The sequence below is a fragment of the Homo sapiens genome, chromosome X, assembly GCF_000001405.40.
Source record: "Homo sapiens chromosome X, GRCh38.p14 Primary Assembly".
NCBI lineage: Eukaryota > Metazoa > Chordata > Mammalia > Primates > Hominidae > Homo > Homo sapiens.
The window spans coordinates 117,261,478-117,282,427 of NC_000023.11; the positions used below are offsets into that span (position 1 = coordinate 117,261,478).

Sequence of the window (20,950 nt, forward strand, 5' to 3'; positions counted from 1 at the left end):
GATCAGACAGCAGCATTCACGGTTCATGAAAAACCACTGTTCTGCAGACACTGCTGCTGATACCCAGGCAAACAGGGTCTGGAGTGGACCTCTAGAAAACTCCAACAGACCTGCAGCTGAGGGTCCTGTCTGTTAGAAGGAAAACTAACAAACAGAAAGGACATCCACACCAAAAACCCATCTGTACATCACCATCATCAAAGACCAAAAGTAGATAAAACCACAAAGATGGGGAAAAAACAGCAGAAAAACTGGAAACTCTAAAAAGCAGAGCACCTCTTCTCCTCCAAAGGACCGCAGTTCCTCACCAGCAATGGAACAAAGCTGGACGGAGAATGACTTTGACGAGCTGAGAGAAGAAGGCTTCAGACGATCAAACTATGAGCTACAGGAGGAAATTCAAACCAAAGGCAAAGAAGTTAAAAACTTTGAAAAAAATTTAGACGAATGTATAACTAGAATAACCAATACAGAGAAGTGCTTAAAGGAGCTGATGGAGCTGAAAGCCAAGGCAGGAGAACTACGTGAAGAATGCAGAAGCCTCAGGAGCCAATGCAATCAACTGGGAGAAAGGGTATCAGCAATGGAAGATGAAATGAATGAAATGAAGTGAGAAGGGAAGTTTAGAGAAAAAAGAATAAAAAGAAATAAACAAAGCCTCCAAGAAATATGGGACTATGTGAAAAGACCAAATCTGCATCTGATTGGTGTACCCGAAAGTGACGGGGAGAATGGAACCAAGTTGGAAAACACTCTGCAGGATATTATCCAGGAGAACTTCCCCAATCTGGCAAGGCAGGCCAACATTCAGATTCAGGAAATACAGAGAACGCTACAAAGATACTCCTCGAGAAGAGCAACTCCAAGACACATAATTGTCAGATTCACCAAAGTTGAAATGAAGGAAAAAATGTTAAGGGCAGCCAGAGAGAAAGGTCAGGTTACCCTCAAATGGAAGCCCATCAGACTAACAGTGGATCTCTCAGCAGAAACTCTCCTAGCCAGAAGAGAGTGGGGACCAATATTCAACATTCTTAAAGAAAAGAATTTTCAACCCAGAATTTCATATCCAGCCAAACTAAGCTTCATAAGGGAAGGAGAAATAAAATACTTTACAGACAAGCAAATGCTGAGAGATTTTGTCACCACCAGGCCTGCCCTAAAAGAGCTCCTGAAGGAAGCGCTAAACATGGAAAGGAACAACCGGTACCAGCCGCTGCAAAATCATGCCAAAATGTAAACACCATTGAGACTAAGAAGAAACTGCATCAACTAACGAGCAAAATAACCAGCTAACATCATAATGACAAGTTCAAATTCACACATAACAATATTAACCTTAAATGTAAATGGACTAAATGCTCCAATTAAAAGACACAGACTGGCAAATTGGATAAAGAGTCAAGATCCATCAGTGTGTTGTATTCAGGAAACCCATCTCACATGCAGAGACACACATAGGCTCAAAATAAAAGGATGGAGGAAGATCTACCAAGCAAATGGAAAACAAAAAAAGGCAGGGGTTGCAATCCTAGTCTCTGATAAAACAGACTTTAAACCAACAAAGATCAAAAGAGACAAAGAAGGCCATTACATAATGATAAAGGGATCAATTCAACAAGAAGAGCTAACTATCCTAAATATATATGCACCCAATACAGGAGCACCCAGATTCATAAAGCAAGTCCTGAGTGACCTACAAAGAGACTTAGACTCCCACACATTAATAATTGGAGACTTTAACACCCCACTGTCAACATTAGACAGATCAACGAGACAGAAAGTCAAAAAGGATACCCAGGAATTGAACTCAGCTCTGCACCAAGCGGACCTAATAGACATCTACAGTACTCTCCACCCCAAATCAACAAAATATACATTTTTTTCAGCACCACACCACACCTATTCCAAAATTGACCACATACTTGGAAGTAAAGCTCTCCTCAGCAAATGTAAAAGAACAGAAATTATAACAAACTATCTCTCAGACCACAGTGCAATCAAACTAGAACTCAGGATTAAGAAACTCACTCAAAACCACTCAACTACATGGAAACTGAACAACCTGCTGCTCAATGACTACTGGGTACATAACAAAATGAAGGCAGAAATAAAGATGTTCTTTGAAACCAATGAGAACAAAGACACAACATAGCAGAATCTCTGGGACACATTCAAAGCAGTGTGTAGAGGGAAATTTATAGCACTAAATGCCCACAAGAGAAAGCAGGAAAGATCTAAAATTGACACCCTAACGTCACAATTAAAAGAACTAGCAAAGCAAGAGCAAACACATTCAAAAGCTAGCAGAAGGCAAGAAAAAACAAAGATCAGAGCAGAACTGAAGGAAATAGAGACACAAAAAACCCTTCAAAAAATTAATGAATCCAGGAGTTGGTTTTTTGAAAGGATCAACAAAATTGATAGACCACTAGCAAGACTAATAAGGAAAAAAAGAGAGAAGAATCAAATAGATGCAATAAAAAATGACAAAGGGGATATCACCACCGATCCCACAGAAATGCAAACTACCATCAGAGAATACTACAAACACCTCTATGCAAATAAACTAGAAAATCTAGAAGAAATGGATAAATTCCTCAACACATACACTCTCCCAAGACTAAACCAGGAAGACATTGAATCTCTGAATAGACCAATAACAGGCTCTGAAATTGAGGCAATAATCAATAGCTTACCAACCAAAAAGAGTCCAGGACCAGATGGATTCACAGCCGAATTCTACCAGAGGTACAAGGAGGAACTGGTACCATTCCTTCTGAAACTATTCTAATCAATAGAAAAAGAGGGAATCCTCCCTAACTCATTTTATGAAGCCAGCATCATCCTGATACCAAAGCCGGGCAGAGACACAACCAAAAAAGAGAATTTTAGACCAATATCCTTGATGAACATTGATGCAAAAATCCTCAATAAAATACTGGCAAACAGAATCCAGCAGCACATCGAAAAGCTTATCCACCATGATCAAGTGGGCTTCATCCCTGGGATGCAAGGCTGGTTCAATATACGCAAATCAATAAATGTAATCCAGCATATAAACAGAACCAAAGACAAAAACCACATGACTATCTCAATAGATGCAGAAAAGACCTTTGGCAAAATTCAACAACCCTTCATGCTAAAAACTCTCAATAAATTAGGTATTGATGAGACATATCTCAAAATAATAAGAGCTATCTATGACAAACCCACAGCCAATGTCATACTGAATGGGCAAAAACTGGAAGCATTCCCTTTGAAAACTGGCACAAGACAGGGATGCCCTCTCTCACCACTCCTATTCAACATAGTGTTGGAAGTTCTGGCCAGGTCAATTCGGCAGGAAAAGGAAATAAAGGGTATTCAATTCGGAAAAGAGGAAGTCAAATTGTCCCTGTTTGCAGATGACATGATTGTATATCTAGAAAACCCCATTGTCTCAGCCCAAAATCTCCTTAAGCTGATAAGCAACTTCAGCAAAGTCTCAGGATACAAAATCAATGTACAAAAATCACAAGCATTCTTATACCCCAATAACAGACAAACAGAGAGCCAAATCATGAGTGAACTCCCATTCACAATTGCTTCAAAGAGAATAAAATACCTAGGAATCCAACTTACAAGGGACGTGAAGGACCTCTTCAAGGAGAACTACAAACCACCGCTCTATGAAATTAAAGAGGATACAAACAAATGGAAGAACATTCCATGCTCATGGGTAGGAAGAATCAATATCAAGAAAATGGCTATACTGCCCAAGGTAACTTATGGATTCAATGCCATTCCCATCGAGCTATCAATGACTTTCTTCACAGAATTGGAAAAAACTACTTTAAAGTTCATATGGAACCAAAAAGAGCCCGCATCGCCAAGTCAATCCTAAGCCAGAAGAACAAAGCCGGAGGCATCACGCTACCTGACTTCAAACTATACTACAAGGCTACAGTAACCAAAACAGCATGGTACTGGTACCAAAACAGAGATATAGATCAATGGCACAGAACAGAGCCCTCAGAAATAATGCCGCATATCTACAACTATCTGATCTTTGACAAACCTGAGAAAAACAAGCAATGGGGAAAGGATTCCCTATTTAATAAATGGTGCTGGGAAAACTGGCTAGCCATATGTAGAAAGCTGAAACTGGATCCCTTCCTTACACCTTATACAAAAATCAATTCAAGATGGATTAAAGACTTAAACGTTAGACCTAAAACCATAAAAACCCTAGAAGAAAACCTAGGCGTTACCATTCAGGACATAGGCATGGGCAAGGACTTCATGTCTAAAACACCAAAAGCAATGGCAACAAAAGCCAAAATTGACAAATGGGATCTAATGAAACTAAAGAGCTTCTGCACAGCAAAAGAAACTACCATCAGAGTGAACGGGCAACCTACAAAATGGGAGAAAATTTTCGCAACCTACTCATCTGACAAAGGGCTGATATCCAGAATCTACAATGAACTCCAACAAATTTACAAGAAAAAAACAACCCCATCAAAAAGTGGGCAAAGGACATGAACAGACACTTCTCAAAAGAAGACATTTATGCAGCCAAAAAACACATGAAAAAATGCTCACCATCACTGGCCATCAGAGAAATGCAAATCAAAACCACAACAAGGTATCATCTCACACCAGTTAGAACGGCAATCATTAAAAAGTCAGGAAACAACAGGTGCTGGAGAGCATGTGGAGAAATAGGAACACTTTTACACTGTTGGTGGGACTGTAAACTAGTTCAACCATTGTGGAAGTCAGTGTGGCCATTCCTCAGGGATCTAGAACTAGAAATACCATTTGACCCAGCCATCCCATTACTGGGTATTTACCCAAAGGACTATAAACCATGCTGCTATAAAGACACATGCACATGTATGTTTATTGCGGCACTATTCACAATAGCAAAGACTTGGAACCAACCCAAATGTCCAACAATGATAGACTGGATTAAGAAAATGTGGCACATATACACCATGGAATACTATGCAGCCATAAAAAATGATGAGTTCATGTCCTTTGTAGGGACATGGATGAAATTGGAAATCATCATTCTCAGTAAACTATCACAAGAACAAAAAACCAAACACCGCATATTCTCACTCATAGGTGGGAATTGAACAATGAGAACACATGGACACAGGAAGGGGAACATCACACTCTGGGGACTGTTGTGGGGTGGGGGGATGGGGGAGGGATAGCTTTGGGAGATATACCTAATGCTAGATGACGAGTTAGTGGGTGCAGCTCACCAGCATGTCACATGTATACATATGTAACTAACCTTCACATTGTGCACATGTACCCTAAAACTTAAAGTATAATAAAAAAAAAAAAAAAGAATCAGGCAGAAGCAGCTAGAGGCCTAGCTGCTGTGGAATAAAGAAATTAAAAGTGCTTTTAACAAGATGTATGGTCTGATCCAGGATTAACCTTAAGGGCATGAATACATCTCATCACTTTCTTCAGTCATTGAAATAAGAAAATGCTCTAGACTCAACAGAGTTGAATAAATCCTTAATGAATTAGAAGAAATTTCTGAGAAAATTAACCCAGGATATGGCACTAAGAGACAATAACTTAAAAATATATGAAGGATACATTAAGAGACATGAAGGGTAGATCAATAATTTCTAATATTTATCTCATTCCAGAAGGGAATAAATGGAATGGCAGAAATGGACTCTGAGATTTTAAAAGTTTTCCCTACAAAGACAGGACGGGTGCGGTGGCTCACACCTGTAATCCCAGCACTTTGGGGGGCTGAGGTGGGTGGATCACAAGGTCAGGAGATCGAGACCATCCTGACTAACACGGTGAAACCCTGTCTCTACTGAAAATACAAAAACAAAATTAGCTGGGCAAGGTGGCAGGCGCCTGTAGTCCCAGCTACTTGGGAGGCTGAGGCAGGAGAATGGCGTGAACCCGGGAGGCGGAGCTTGCAGTGAGCCCATTTCATGCCACTGCACTCCAGCCTGGGCGACAGAGCGAGACTCCATCTCAAAAAAAAAAAAAAAAAATAGAAGTTTTCCCTACAAAGCAATGATAATATTTGAAGAAGGACATGTTAATTAACTTGATTCAATCATTCCATAATGTATACATGTGTGGAAACATCACATTGTACCCCATATATATGTAAAATTATTTGTCAGTTAAACATAAAATAAAACTTTAAAAAACATAATGAGATATCACCTCACATCTATTAGACTATCAAAAAAATGAAAGATAACAAGTGTTGGTAAGAATGTAACGCAAAAGAAACTCTTGTACACCTTTAGAGGGAATGTAAATTAGTATAGTTGTGAAAAACAGTATGGGCTTTCTTCAAAATACTAAAAGTAAAATTGCCATATGATCTAGCAATCTCACTTCTGGGTATATAGCCAAAAGAACTGAAATCAATGTGTTGAAGAGATATCTTCAATCCCATGTTCGTTGTAGCATTATTCACAGTAGCCAAGATATGAAAACAACCAAAGCACCCATCAATGGATGAACACATTTTTTAAATGTGGCACACACACAACACACAGACACACACAATACTATTCAATCTTTAAAAAGAAAGAAATTCGATGTGGCTGGCAACATGGCCAAATAGGAACAGCTCCAGTCTGCAAATCCCAGTGAGACCAATGCAGAAGTCAGGTGATTTCTGCATTTCCAACTGAGGTACACTGCTCACTTCACTGGGACTGGTTCCACAGTGGGTACAGCCCACAGAGGGTGAGCCAAAGCAGGGTGAGGCATTGCCTCACCCAAGAAGTGCAAGGAGTCAGGGAACTCCCTCCTTTAGCCAAGGGAAGCCGTGAAGGACTGTGCCATGAGAAAAGGTGCACTCCATCCCAGATACTACGCTTTTCCCACAGTCTTCACAACCTGCAGACCAGCAGATTCCCTCGGGTGCCTACACCACTAGGGCCCTGGGTTTCAAGCACAAAACTGGGTGGCAATTTGGACAGACACCAAGCTAGCTGTAGGAGATTTTATTCATACCCTAATGGTGCCTGGAATGCCAGTAAGACAGAACTGTTCACTCCCCTGGAAAAGGGGCTGAAGCCAGGGAGCCAAGTGGTCTAGCTCAGCAAATCCCACCCCCACGGAGACCAGCAAGCTAAGTTCCACTCAGCACAGCAGTCTGAAGTTGACCAGGGATGCTCAAGCTTGGTGGGGGGAGGGGCGTCCGCCATTACTGAGGCTTGAGTAGGAGATTTTTCCCTCACAGTGTAAACAAAGCCACCACGAAGTTTGAACTGGGCAGAGCCCACTGCAGCTTGGCAAACCAATGTAGCTAGACGGCCTCTCTAGATTCCTCCTCACTGGGCAGGGCAACTCTGAGAGAAAAGCAGCAGCTCCCGTCAGGGGCTTATAGATAAAACTCCCATCTCCCTGGGACAGAGCACCTGGGGGAAGGGGCAGCTGTGGGTGCAGCTTCAGCAGACTTCCTGCTGGCTCTGAAGAGAACCTTCCTTCCTGCTAGCTCTGAAGAAAACAGCAGATCTCAGAGCAGAGTACTTGGGTTCTGGTAAGGGACAGACTGCCTCCTCAAGTGGGTCCCTGATCCCCATACCTCCCGACTAGGAGACACCTCACAGCAGGGGTCAACAGACATCTGATACGGGAGAGCTCTGGCTGGCATCTTGTGGGTGCCCCTCTGGGAAGAAGCTTCCAGAGGAAGGAACAGGCAGCAGTCTTTGCTGTTCTGCAGACTCTGCTGGTGATACCCAGGCAAACAGGGTCTGGAATGGACCTCCAGCAAAGTCCAGCAGACCTGCAGCAGAGGGGACTGAGTGTTAGAAGGAAAACTAACAAACAGAAAGGAATAGCATCAACATCAACAAAAAGGACGTCCACACAGAAACCCCATCCAAAGGGCACCATCATCAAAAACCAAAGGTAGATAAATCCATGAAGATGAGGAAAAACCAGCCCCAAAAGACTGAAAATTCCAAAAAACAGAACGGCTCTTCTCCTTCAAAGGATCATGACTTCTCTCCAGCAAGGGAACAAACCTGGATGGAGAATGAGTTTGACAAAGGGACAGAAGAAGGCTTCAGAAGTTGGGTAATAACAAACCCTCTGAGCTACAGGAGCATGTTCTAACCCAATGCAAGGAAGCTAAGAACCTTGAAAAAGGGTTAGAGGAATTGCTAACTAGAATAACCAGTTTAGAGAAGAACACAAATGACCTGATAGAGCTGAAAAACACAGCACAGGAACTTCATGAAGCATACACGAGTATCAATAGCCCAATTGATCAAGCAGAAGAAAGGATATCAGAGATTGAAGATCAACTTAATAAAATAAAGTGTGAAGACAAGTTTGGAGAAAAAGAAATGAAAAGGAAAGAACAAAGCCTCCAAGAAATATGGGACTATGTGAAAAGACCAAACCTACGTTTGATTGGAGTACTTGAAAATGACAGGGATAATGGAACCAAGTGGAAAAACACTCTTCAGGATATTATGCAGAAAAACTTCCCCAACCTAGCAAGATAGGCCAACATTCAAATTCAGGAAATACAGAGAACACCACAAAGATACCGCTCGAGAAGAGCAACCTCAAGACATATAATTGTCAGCTTCACCAAGGTTGAGATGAAGGAAAAAATGTTAAGGGCAGCAAAAGAGAAAAGTCAGGTTACCGACAAATGGAAGCTCATCAGACTAACAGTGGATCTCTCTGCAGAAGCCCTACAAGCCAGAAGAGAGTGGGGGCCAATATTCAACATTCTTAAAGAAAAGAATTTTTCTACCCAGAATTTCATATCCAGCCAAACTAAGTTTCATGAGCGAAGCAGAAATAAAATCCTTTACAGATAAGCAAATGCTGAGAGATTTTGTTACTACAAGGCCTGCCTTACAAGACCTCCTGAAGGAAGCACTACAAATGCAAAGGGAAAACTGGTATCAGCCACTGCAAAAGATACCAAATTATAAAGTCCATCGACACTATGAAGAAACTGCATCAACTAATGGACAAAATAAACCAACTAGCATCAGAATGACTGGATCAAATTCACACATAAAAATATTAACCTTAAATGTAAACAGGCTAAATGCCCCAATTAAAAGACACAGACTGGCAAATTGGATAAAGAGTCATGACCCATTGGTGTGCTGCATTCAGGAGACCAATCTCATGTGCAAAGACACACATGTGCTCAAAATAAAGGGACGAAGGAAGATTTACCAAGCAAATGGAAAACAAAAAGAAAGCATGGGTTGCAATTCTAGTCTCTGAAAAAGACAAAGAAGAGCATTATATAATGGTAAAGGGATCAATGCAACAAGAAGAGCTAACTATCCTAAATATATATGCACCCAATACAGGAGCACCCAGATTCATAAAGCAAGTTCTTAGAGACATACATGGAGACTTAGACTCCCATACAATAATAATGGGAGACTTTAACACCCCACTGTCAATATTAGACAGATCAACAAGAGAGAAAATCAACAAGGATATTCAGGACTTGAACTCAGCTCTGGACCAAGTGGACCTAATAGACATCTACAGAACTCTCCACCTCCAATCAACAGAATATACATTCTTCTCAGCACGACATCACACTTTTTCTAAAATTAACCACATGATTAGAAGTAAAACACTCATCACAAAATGCAAAATAACAGAAATCATAACAAACAGTCTCTCAGACCACAAGCAATGAAATTAGAACTCAGGATTAAGAAACTCACTCAAAACTGCACAACTACGTGGAAACTGAACAACCTGCTCCTGAATGACTACTGGGTAAATAACGAAATGAAGGCAGAAATAAACAAGTTCTTTGAAATCAATGAGAACAAAGACACAACATACCAGAATCTCTGGGACACAACTAAAGCAGTGTTTAGAGGGAAATTTATAGCACTAAATGCCCACAGGAGATAGTGGGAAAGATCTAAAAGTGACACCCTAACATCACAATTAAACGAACTAGAGATGCAAGAACAAACAAATTCAAAAGCTAGCAGAAGACAAGAAATAACTAAAATCAGAGCAGAAATGAAGGAGATAAAGACACAAAAAACCCTTCAAAAAATCAATAAATCCAGGAGCTGGTTGGTTGAAAAGATTAACAAAATAGATAGACCCCTAGCCAGACTAATAAAGAAGAAAACAGAAAAGAATCAAATAGAATAATAAAAAAAGATAAAGGTGATATCACCACTGATCTCACAGATATACAAACTACCATAAGAGAATACTATAAATGCCTCTATGCAAATAAACTAGAAAATCTAGAAGAAATGGATAAATTCCCAGACACATACACCCTCCCAAGACTAAACCAGGAAGAAGTTGAATGCCTGAATAGACCAATAATAAGTTCTGAAATTGGGGCAGTAATTGATAGCTTACAAACTAAAAAAAGCCAAGGATCAGATGGATACATAGCGGAATTCTACCAGAGGTACAAAGAGGAGCTGGTACCATTCCTTCTGAAATTATTCCAAGTGATAGAAAAAGAGGGGCTCCTCCCCAATTCATTTTATGAGGCCAGCATCATCCTGATACCAAAACCTGGTGGAGACACAGCAAAAAAAGAAAATTTCAGGCCAATATCCTTGATGAACATTGATGCGAAAATCCTCAATAAAATACTGGTAAACTGAATCCAGCAGCACATCGAAAAGCTTATCCACCAAGATCAAGTCGGCTTCATCCCTAGGATGAAAGGTTGGTTCAACATATGCAAATCAATAAACATAATCCATCACATAAACAGAACCAATGACAAAAACCACGCGATTTTCTCAATAGATGCAGAAAAGGCCTTTGAAAAAATATAACACCACTTTATGCTAAAATCTCTCAAAAAACTAGGCGCTGATGGAACATATCTCAAAATAATAAGAGCTATTTATGACAAATTCATAGCCAATATCATACTGAATCTACAAAAGCTGGAAGCATTCCCTTTGAAAACTGGCACAAGACAAGGGTGCCCTCTCTCACCACTCCTATGCAACATAGTATTGGAAGTTCTGGCCAGGGCAATAAGGCAAGAGAAAGAAATAAAGCGTATTCAAACAGAAAGAGAGGAAGTCAAATTGTCTCTGTTTGCAGATGACATGATTGTATATTTAGAAAATTCCACCATCTCTGTCCAAAATCTCTTTAAGCTGATAAGCAACTTCAGCATTGCCTCAGGTTACAAAATCGATGTGCAAAAATCACAAGCATTCCTATACACAAATGACAGACAAACAGAGAGCCAAATCATCAATGAACTCTCATTCACAATTGCTACAAGGACAATAAAATACCTAGGAATACAACTTACAAGTGATGTGAAGGACCTCTTCAAGGAGAACTACAAACCACTGCTCAAGGAAGTAAGAGAGGACACAAACAAATGGAAAAACATTCCATGCTCATGGAGAGGAAGAATCAATATCATGAAAATGACCATAATACCCAAAGTAATTTATAGATTCAATGCTATCTCCATCAACCTACCATTGACTTTCTTCACAGAATTATAAAAAACTACTTTAAATTTTACAGGGAACCAAAAAAGAGCCCGTATAGCCAAGGCACTCCTAAGCAAAAAGAACAAAGCTGGAGGCATCATGCTACCTGACTTCAAACTACACTACAAGGCTATGGTAACCAAAACAGCATGGTACTGGTATCAAAACAGATATATAGACCAATGGAACAGAATAGAGGCCTCAGAAATAACGCCACACATCTACAACCATCTGATCTTTGACTAACCTGACAAAAGCAATCAATGGGGAAAAAATTCTCTATTTAATAAATAGTGTTAGGAAAACTCGCTAACCATATGCAGAAAACAGAAACTGGATCCCTTCCTTACACTTTATACAAAAATTAACTCAAGATGGATTAAAGACTTAAACATAAGACCGAATACCATCAAAACCCTAGAGAAAAACCTAGGCAATACCATTCAGGACATAGGCATGGGCAAAGGCTTCATGACAAAAACACCAAAAGCAATGGTAACAAAAACCAAAATAGACAAATGGGATCTAACTAAACTAAAGTGCTTCTGCACAGCAAAAGAAACTATCCTCAGAGTGAACACGCAACCTACAGAATGGGAGAAAATTTTTCAATCTATCCATCTGACAAAGGGCTAATATCCAGAATCTACAAAGAACTTAAACAAATTTACAAGAAAAAAACAAACAACCTCATCAAAAAGTAGGCAAAGGATATGAACATACACTTCTCAAAAGAAGACATTTATGTGTTCAATGAACATATGAAAAAAAAGCTTATCATCGCTGGTCATTAGAGAAATGCAAATCAAAACCAAAATGAGATACTGTCTCACTCCAGTTAGAATGGTGATCATTAAAAAGTCAGGAAACAGCAGATGCTGGAAAGGATGTGGACAAATAGGAATACTCTTACACTGTTGGTGGGTGTGTAAATTAGTTCAACCATTGTGGAAAACAGTGTGACAATTCTTCAAGGATCTAGAACCAGAAATACCATTTGACCCAGCAATCCGATTACTGGGTATACACACAAAGGATTATAAATTATTCTACTATAAAGACTCATGCACATATATGCTTACTGCAGCACTGTTCACATTAGCAAAGACTTAGAACCAACCCAAATGTCCATCAATGATAGACTGGATAAAGAAAATGTGGCACATATACACCATGGAATACTATGCAGTATGAGCTCATGTCCTTTGCAGTGACATGGATGAAGCTGGAAACCATCATTCTCAGCAAACTAACACAGAAACAGAAACCCAAACACCACGTGTTCTCACTCATAAGTGGGAATTGGACAATGAGATCACATGGACACAGGGAGGGGAACATCACACACCAGGGCCTGGTAGGGTGCTAGGGGAGGGATAGAATTAGGAGAAATACCTCATGTAGATGACAGGTTGATGGGTGCAGCAAACCACCACGGCATGTGTATATATATATATATAACAAACCTGCACATTCTGCACATGTATCCCAGAACTTAAAATATAATAATATTTAAAAAAATATGCTAGGTACCAACAAAAGATTTGCCTCTCCAAAAAAAAGTAATACTTGTCTATAAATTACCTATGACATTGTGGCTCCAGCCCTGTAAATGCAGGAATTAAAACAGTGGGAGTAATTTTTAAATTAATTTAAATGTACATATTAAGTCTTTCACATTCCATGTTTTAGTGTACAGAAACATCTTGTGGAAGATTCCTGGAAAAGAAGAATGAAAATTATGAGAGTCAAGGGCCATTAGAAACAAGAGCCTGGCTGGGCATGGTAACTTACACCTGTAATCCCAGCACTTTGCCAGGCTGAGGCAGGAGGATTGCATGAGCCCAGAAGCTTGAGACCAGCTGGGGCAACATAACAAGACCCTGTCTCTAGAAAAACTAAAATTAGCTAGGCATTGTGGTGCTCACCTGTGGTCCCACCTACTTGGGAGGCTGAGGTGGCAGGATCACTTGAGTATGGGAGGTTGAAGCTGCAGTGAGCCGTGATCGTGCCACTGTACTCCAGCCTGGGTGACAGAGAGAGACCCTGCCACAAAAACATAAAATTAAAAACAAAAAAGAAACAAGAACCTCCCACCTGACTTTCTTAGGAGCACAATCCTTTTCCAACTGCTTACTGCTATTTGTACTCTCTGCCCTGTCTGAAGTTGGCAGCATTCCCATCTTTCAACATAGGCTCTCAGATTGTGAACCTTATCTATTATCTTTTCAGTTCTCAGATTACATAGGTTCTAAAGTCACTAGTAATTGATGCTGTTAATTCTAAGGAGCTGTCTGTTTTTGATAACTCCTGCTCACAGTGAAAAAATCCTCCTGGACTTTTCGGACCAGTTGAAAGCACGTCTCTGTATCCTCTGTCTCTTCTCTAATCTGTGTCTGGAGCATGTCCATACCAACCACATAGAGACATAGAATTTGAATAGACAGCTTTATTTCTTCATTTATATGCTGTCTTTCTGTTCTGTCCTGGCCCCTCACCAGTGTCTTTCTTCACTTTATTTTCCAGTGCCACAGTTGCATGGCTGTGCACTATATCACTCCTGGGGATTACCATCCATTTGGACTGCAGAATCAGAGGAGACTCTAGAGTTGTACGCCGTGCTGGCATCTCACAGGTCTGCCCTGATCAAGAAGCTTGATGCTAGTGCATAATTAAGAAGTGGAAAAAAAAGTGAGGGCCACCATTATGCTACATAGAATTCTGTAGAGTTGGTTTTTTCAAGGAATACCTGTTATTTTAAGTGGGCATGTAAGGCTGTCACTTTGACAAAGCTTTATTAGATGTACATGAATAAAATTATAGGAGTAGTAAATGAAATATTTTACTTAGAAACCCTCACTCAATTACTCTTTGAAATACTCTTTCATGTATTAAAAACAAAACCCAGACTAGTGTTTTCACATTTTCAAGATGAAGAACACTGTGGATGAAGCAACAGTAATCATCAGAGCATTAGCCCATGAATCAGAATAATGAGTTTCAATTTCTTTGAACATTGTGCTGTGTTTCAATGAAAATAGTTTTAGATCTATTACTTTATCCTAGATCCCAAGATAACCAGGATCAATAATTATTCATTCATAAATGTATTTATTTAAAAAATTATTAAACACTAATGATAAGAGAAAAAAAAAGCAAGAAATTCTGTCACTTGCAACAACATGAACCCAAATGACATTATGCTAAGTGAAATAAGCCAGGCACAGAGAGACAAATACTGTATGCTCTCACTTATATGTGGAATATAAGAAAGCTGAATTCATAGATGTAGAGAGTAGAATGGTGATTACCAGAGGAGGAGAGGAGGGTGGATGGTAAAAGAGAAGATGTTGATCAAAGGGTAGAGAGTTTCAATTAGATGGGAGGTATAAATTCTGGTGACCTATTGCACAGCATGGTAACAGTAGTTAATAATAATGTATATTTAAAAATAGCTAAAAGGGGAAATTTTAAATGTTCTCACCAAAACAAAATGATAAGTATGTCAGATGATGGATATGTCAATTAGCCTGATTTGGTCATTCCATAATGTATACCTATATTGAAACATGACATTGTACCCCATAAATATATGCAATTATATATATATATGTATATATATAAAATTACAAATGAAATAAAACTTTAAATAGGAAAGAACTTTTTGAAGATGTAATAGCTGAAAATTTTGTGGAACTAAAAGCAGCTTCTTAGACTGAAAGTGCATTCCAAGCACCAAATAGGCTAAATAAAAATACATCTATGCCTAGGAAAACCTTATAAAACTGCAGAGCAACAAGTTAACGAGACAATCTTTAAAAATATTACACAGAAAAGACAGATAATAAACAAAAGACTGAGCTGATTTCTCAACTAAAAAAAAAGAGTCCATAGACAATAAAATGATAACTTCAAAGTACTAGGGGTGAGAAAAGACTGTGAATTTGGAATTTCGTACTCAATTAAATGATCATTTATGAACAAGGCCAATATACAGGCATTTTCAAACATGGATTGAGTAAGAAAGTTTATTACAAGTTCTTACTAAAAGCATTTTTAAGAGATACATCTAAAAAAGAAGAAAAGTAAACACAGAAGAAAGGTGTATTTCTGAAAACTGTAATAAGTAGAGAAATTGACCAAATATGCCAGTAAATTTAATTTTCCATTGTAAAAATTATTAAGTATTTTAAGAGTAGAATCACAATTTTAAACTAAGGGTTGGCAAACTTTTTCAGTAAATATCCAGATAGCAATTATCTTAGCTCAGAGATGCCATACAGTTTCTGCTGCAACTACATACTGTCATTGTAGGGCAAAAGCAGCCATAAGCAATGTGTAAATGAGCATGGCAGTGTTCCGATAAACTGCTATTTTAAAAAGAAGTGGCTGAACAGTGGACTGTTTAGCTCCAGGACCTCTTCTCTGAACAATGCTACAAATATAAGTTGCCATTAAAGCATGTTAAATTTCTCTTTATAGTTGAGAAAAGGATACAAAGATTGGGTAATTCTGTTTCCTTAGAATATCTCTGGAAGGAAAAATGCCTTGAACTTTTTTCAGCTATTACCATAGTGAAGCACAGTTGAGGGCAAGGCCCTTCGGAAAGAGAATACAAGGTAGAAATCTGTCAGAGACACTCATGGGAAAAAGGCAGGGGCAGACAAGACATTTTACATATATGGTATTTTTTTCTAGGCAGGCTCTGGGGTATTACTGCAGTGGTAAGTAATCATAAGCTGTTTTTCACTAAATAATTGCACTTATCTTTCAGGTTCAGCTTAAATTTTCCTTACTTTCATGTCTGAGTGAAGTGTACCCCCTATATGCCTCCTATAGCACCTTTAAACATATACCTAATGTAAAACTTAACATATTTGATCATATTTGCTAGTCTGGGGTTTTTCTCATAGAAAATGAGTTCTGTGAAAAGAGATGTCATGATTGTCTCATTCATTATTGTATTATTCATGCCAGGACAGTGCCTGTCACGTGGCAGATACTGCACCGATGTTTGTTAAATGAATAAATAGCTACTTCTATTGAATTAATGACACATGAACATGTGCCAAGATATATAACCTCTGTTTTGGGGGTTACATTATCATCTTGATCTTTCACATTTATTTAACCAACAAATAATGAATTAGCACTCACTATAGGTAAGGCACCATTCTAGATTCTGATTATATAAGCAGTGAGCAAAATAGTCCCTGTCTCATGTAGTTTACATTCTAATGGGGATGAGAGATAATAAACATATAAAAATGTTTACAAGTGGAAAACATTACCACTTGTAATGATTACCAGTAAAATCATTGTTCTTTGATGGGTCAGGACTTTAGCACTTCAGAGTTAACATCAACCACCAGTAAGTAAGAAAGATGGTGAAGATGGACAAAGAAATTTGGCTGAATCTGTATTGAACTCATTCTGTCCTGGCAGGTTACAATGTTTAGTAAATACATAACATCAGATCATTTAGTTGTCTCTTACTAGAAAATGTTCTAAAATATCCAGCTAATTAATACTGCTTCTTAAATAGTATAGCTGGGGAAAAGCACTCTAATGAATATTAGAATTGGTTTCTAGACTTAGGCTTGCCATTCAATTACCATGTGACCTTAGGCAAGTGAGTTATTTCTTCTCTCTGGGCCTCAGTTTTTCCCATGAGAGAACTGGGTTCAATCAAAGAATTTAGTCATTTAGTTGTTTTCTTACCACTGTCATTATTTTTACCGTATTTGAATACCATATCTGTTATCATTTACCTAATAATTATTAGGTAATAATAAGTATTATTAGGTAATAATAAGTATTATAATATTATTAGGTAATAATAAGTATTATAATATTATTAGGTAATAATAAGTATTATATTAGGCAATAATAAGTATTATATTAGGTAATAATAAGTATTATAATATTAGGTAATAATAAATATAATAATATTATTAGGTAATAAGTATTATTACCTAATAATTTTCTTTAAATTAAAACACGTTTTGTGTTTAGTAGTAAATAATATTGGTGAAATCATGATTGTAATATGCTAGTTATAGTGTTTCCTGGTGAATCATTAAATTCATAGCTTTTAAAATGTTTTTTAATGCCACCTTTCAACGTACCATAAGTGGCATTTCTATGTCATTTGGAAATGCTGGATTAAATGACTTTCAAGTCCTCTGCATTCTAAATATTAATATTTTATGAGGTTTTTTGTATGACTGCTTTATCTCAAAAAATATATAAAATAATGCTTAGTATTTGAAAACAATTAAAACCTGTACTTTGTTTGAATATCTTTCTTCTCTTTCTCATTTACCCGACTGTAATACTTTCCAGGGTACTGTCAGGCCTCTGAGCCCAGGCCAGGCCATCGCATCCCCTGTGACTTGCACGTATACATCCAGATGGCCTAAAGTAACTGAAGATCCACAAAAGAAGTAAAAACAGCCTTAAATGATGACATTCCACCATTGTGATTTGTTCCTGACCCACTCTAACTGATCAAAGTACTTTGTAATCTCCCCCACCCTTAAGAAGGTTCTTTGTAATTCTCCCCACCCTTGAGAATGTACTTTGTGAGATCCACCCCTGCCCGCTAATTTGGTGCGGTGACTTGGATCGGGGGACATCCCTTGGGAGATCAATCCCCTGTCCTCCTGCTCTTTGCTCCGTGAGAAAGATCCACCTACAACCTCAGGTCCTCAGTCCGACCAGCCCAAGAAACATCTCACCAATTTCAAATCCAGTAAGCGGCCTCTTTTTACTCTCTTCTCCAACTTCCCTCACTATCCCTCAACCTCTTTCTCCTTTCAATCTTGGCACTACACTTCAATCTTTCCCTTCTCTTAATTTCAATTCCTTTTATTTTCTGGTAGAGACAAAAGAGACACGTTTTATCCGTGGACCCAAAACTCCGGCACCAGTCACGGACTGGGAAGGCAGCCTTCCCTTGGTGTTTAATCATTGCAGGGACGCCTCTCTGATTATACACCCACGTTTCAAGGGTGTCAGACCACGCAGGGATGCCTGCCTTGGTCCTTCACCCTTTGCAGCAAGTCCCGCTTTTCTGGGGAAGGGGAAAGTACCCAACCCTTTCTCTCCTTGTCTCTACCCCTTCTCTGCTTTTCTGGGGAAGGGACAAGTACCCCAACCCCTTCTCTCCTTGTCTCTACCCCTTCTCTGCTTTCCTGGGGCAGGGGCAAGTACCCCAACCCCTTCTCTCCTTGTCTCTACCCCTTCTCTGCTTTCCTGGGGCAGGGGCAAGTACCCCTCAACCCCTTCTCCTTCACCCTTAGCGGCAAGTCCCACTTTCCTGGGGCAGGGCCAAGTATCCCTCAACCCCCTCTCCTTCACCCTTAGCAGCAAGTCCCGCTTTTCTAGGGGGCAAGAAACCCCAAACCCCTTCTCCGTGTCTCTACTCTTTTCTCTGGGCTTGCCTCCTTCACTATGGGTAAGCTTCCACCTTCCATTCCTCCTTCTTCTCCCTTAGCCTGTGTTCTCAAAAACTTAAAACCTCTTCAACTCACACCTGACCTAAAACCTAAATGCCATATTTTCTTCTACAATGCCTCTTGACCCCAATACAAACTCGACAGTAGTTCCAAATAGCTGGAAAATGGCACTTTCAATTTTTCCATCCTACAAGATCTAAATAATTCTTGTCGTAAAATGGGCAAATGGTCTGAGGTGCCTGACGTCCAGGCATTCTTTTACACATCAGACCCTTCCTAGTCTCTGTGCCCAGTGCAACTCCTCCCAAATCTTCCTTCTTTCCCTCCCGCCTGTCCCCTCAGTCCCAACCCCAAGCGTCGCTGAGTCTTTCTAATCTTCCTTTTCTACAGATCCATCTGACCTCTCCCCTCCTTGCCAGCCCAAGCTAGGTCCTAATTCTTCCTCAGCCTCCACTCCTCCACCCTGTAATCTTTTTATCGCCTCCCCTCCTCACACCTGGTCTGGCTTACAGTTTTGTTCTGTGACTAGCCGTCCCCCACCTGCCCAGCAATTTATTCTTAAAAAGGTAGCTGGAGCTAAAGGCATAGTCAAGGTTAATGCTCCTTTTTCTTTATCCCAAATCAGATGGCGTTTAGGCTTTTTCATCAAATATAAAAACCCAGCCCAGTTCATGGCTCGTTCAGCAGCAACCCTGAGACGCTTTACAGCCCTAGACCCTAAAAGGTCAAAAGGCCATCTTATTCTCAATATACATTGTATTACCCAATCTGCTCCTGACATTAAATAAAACTCCAAAAATTAAATTCTGGCCCTCAAACCCCACAACAGGATTTAATTAACCTCACCTTCAAGGTGTACAATAATAGAAAAAAGTTGCAATTCCTTGCCTCCACTGTGAGACAAACCCCAGCCACATCTCCAGCACACAAGAACTTCCAAACGCCTGAACTGCAGTAGCCAGGCATTCCTCCAGAACCTCCTTCCCCAGGAGCTTGCTACAAGTGCCAGAAATCTGACCACCAGGCCAAGGAATGCCTACAGCCCAGGATTCCTCCTAAGCCATGTCCCATCTGTGCGGGACCCCACTGGAAATTGGACTGTTCAACTCACCTGGCAGCCACTCCCAGAGCCCCTGGAACTCTGGCCCAAGGCTCTCTGACTGACTCCTTCTTGGCTTAGTGGCTGAAGACTGATGCAGCCCGATCGCCTCGGAAGCCCCCTAGGCCATCACGGACGCCCAGCTTCGGGTAACTCTCACAGTGGAAGGTAAACCCGTCCCCTTCTTAATCAATATGGAGGCTACCCACTCCACATTACTTTCTTTTCAAGGGCCTGTTTCCCTTGCCTCCATAACTGTTGTGGGTATTGACAGCCAGGCTTCTAAACCTCTTAAAACTCCCCAACTCTGGTGCTAACTTAGATAATACTCTTTTAAGCACTCCTTTTTAGTTATCCCCACCTGCCCAGTTCCCTTATTAGGCTGAGACACTTTAACTAAATTATCTGCTTCCCTGACTATTCCTGGACTACAGCTGCATCTCATTGCCGCCCTTCTTCCCAATCCAAAGCCTCCTTTGCGTCCTCCTCTTGTATTCCCTCACCTTAACCCACAAGTATAAGATACCTCTACTCCCTCCTTGGCGACCGATCATGCACCCCTTACCATCTCATTAAAACCTAATCACCCTTACCCCACTCAATGTCAAGATCCCATCCCACAGCACGCTTTAAAAGGATTAAAGCCTGTTATCACTCGCCTGCTACAGCATGGCCTTTTAAAGCCTATAAACTCTCCTTACAATTCCCCCATTTTACCTGTCGTAAAACCAGACAAGCCTTACAAGTTAGTTCAGAATCTGCGCCTTATCAACCAAATTGTTTTGCCTATCCACCCCGTGGTGCCAAACCCATATACTCTCCTATCCTCAATACCTCCCTCTACTACCCATTATTCTGTTCTAGATCTCAAACATGCTTTCTTTACTATTCCTTTG

At 39.9% G+C, this 20,950-nt stretch overlaps 2 annotated features.

Annotated features, from left to right (window-relative positions):
- Positions 19,523–20,024: an enhancer, noted in NCBI's record as "H3K27ac hESC enhancer chrX:116414963-116415464 (GRCh37/hg19 assembly coordinates)". NCBI's record gives its function as "activates a minimal SCP1, AML or CMV promoter by ChIP-STARR-seq in primed H9 embryonic stem cells {active_cell/tissue: H9 hESC(primed)}" and the evidence as "EXISTENCE:reporter gene assay evidence [ECO:0000049][PMID:30033119]".
- Positions 20,025–20,524: an enhancer, noted in NCBI's record as "H3K27ac hESC enhancer chrX:116415465-116415964 (GRCh37/hg19 assembly coordinates)". NCBI's record gives its function as "activates a minimal SCP1, AML or CMV promoter by ChIP-STARR-seq in primed H9 embryonic stem cells {active_cell/tissue: H9 hESC(primed)}" and the evidence as "EXISTENCE:reporter gene assay evidence [ECO:0000049][PMID:30033119]".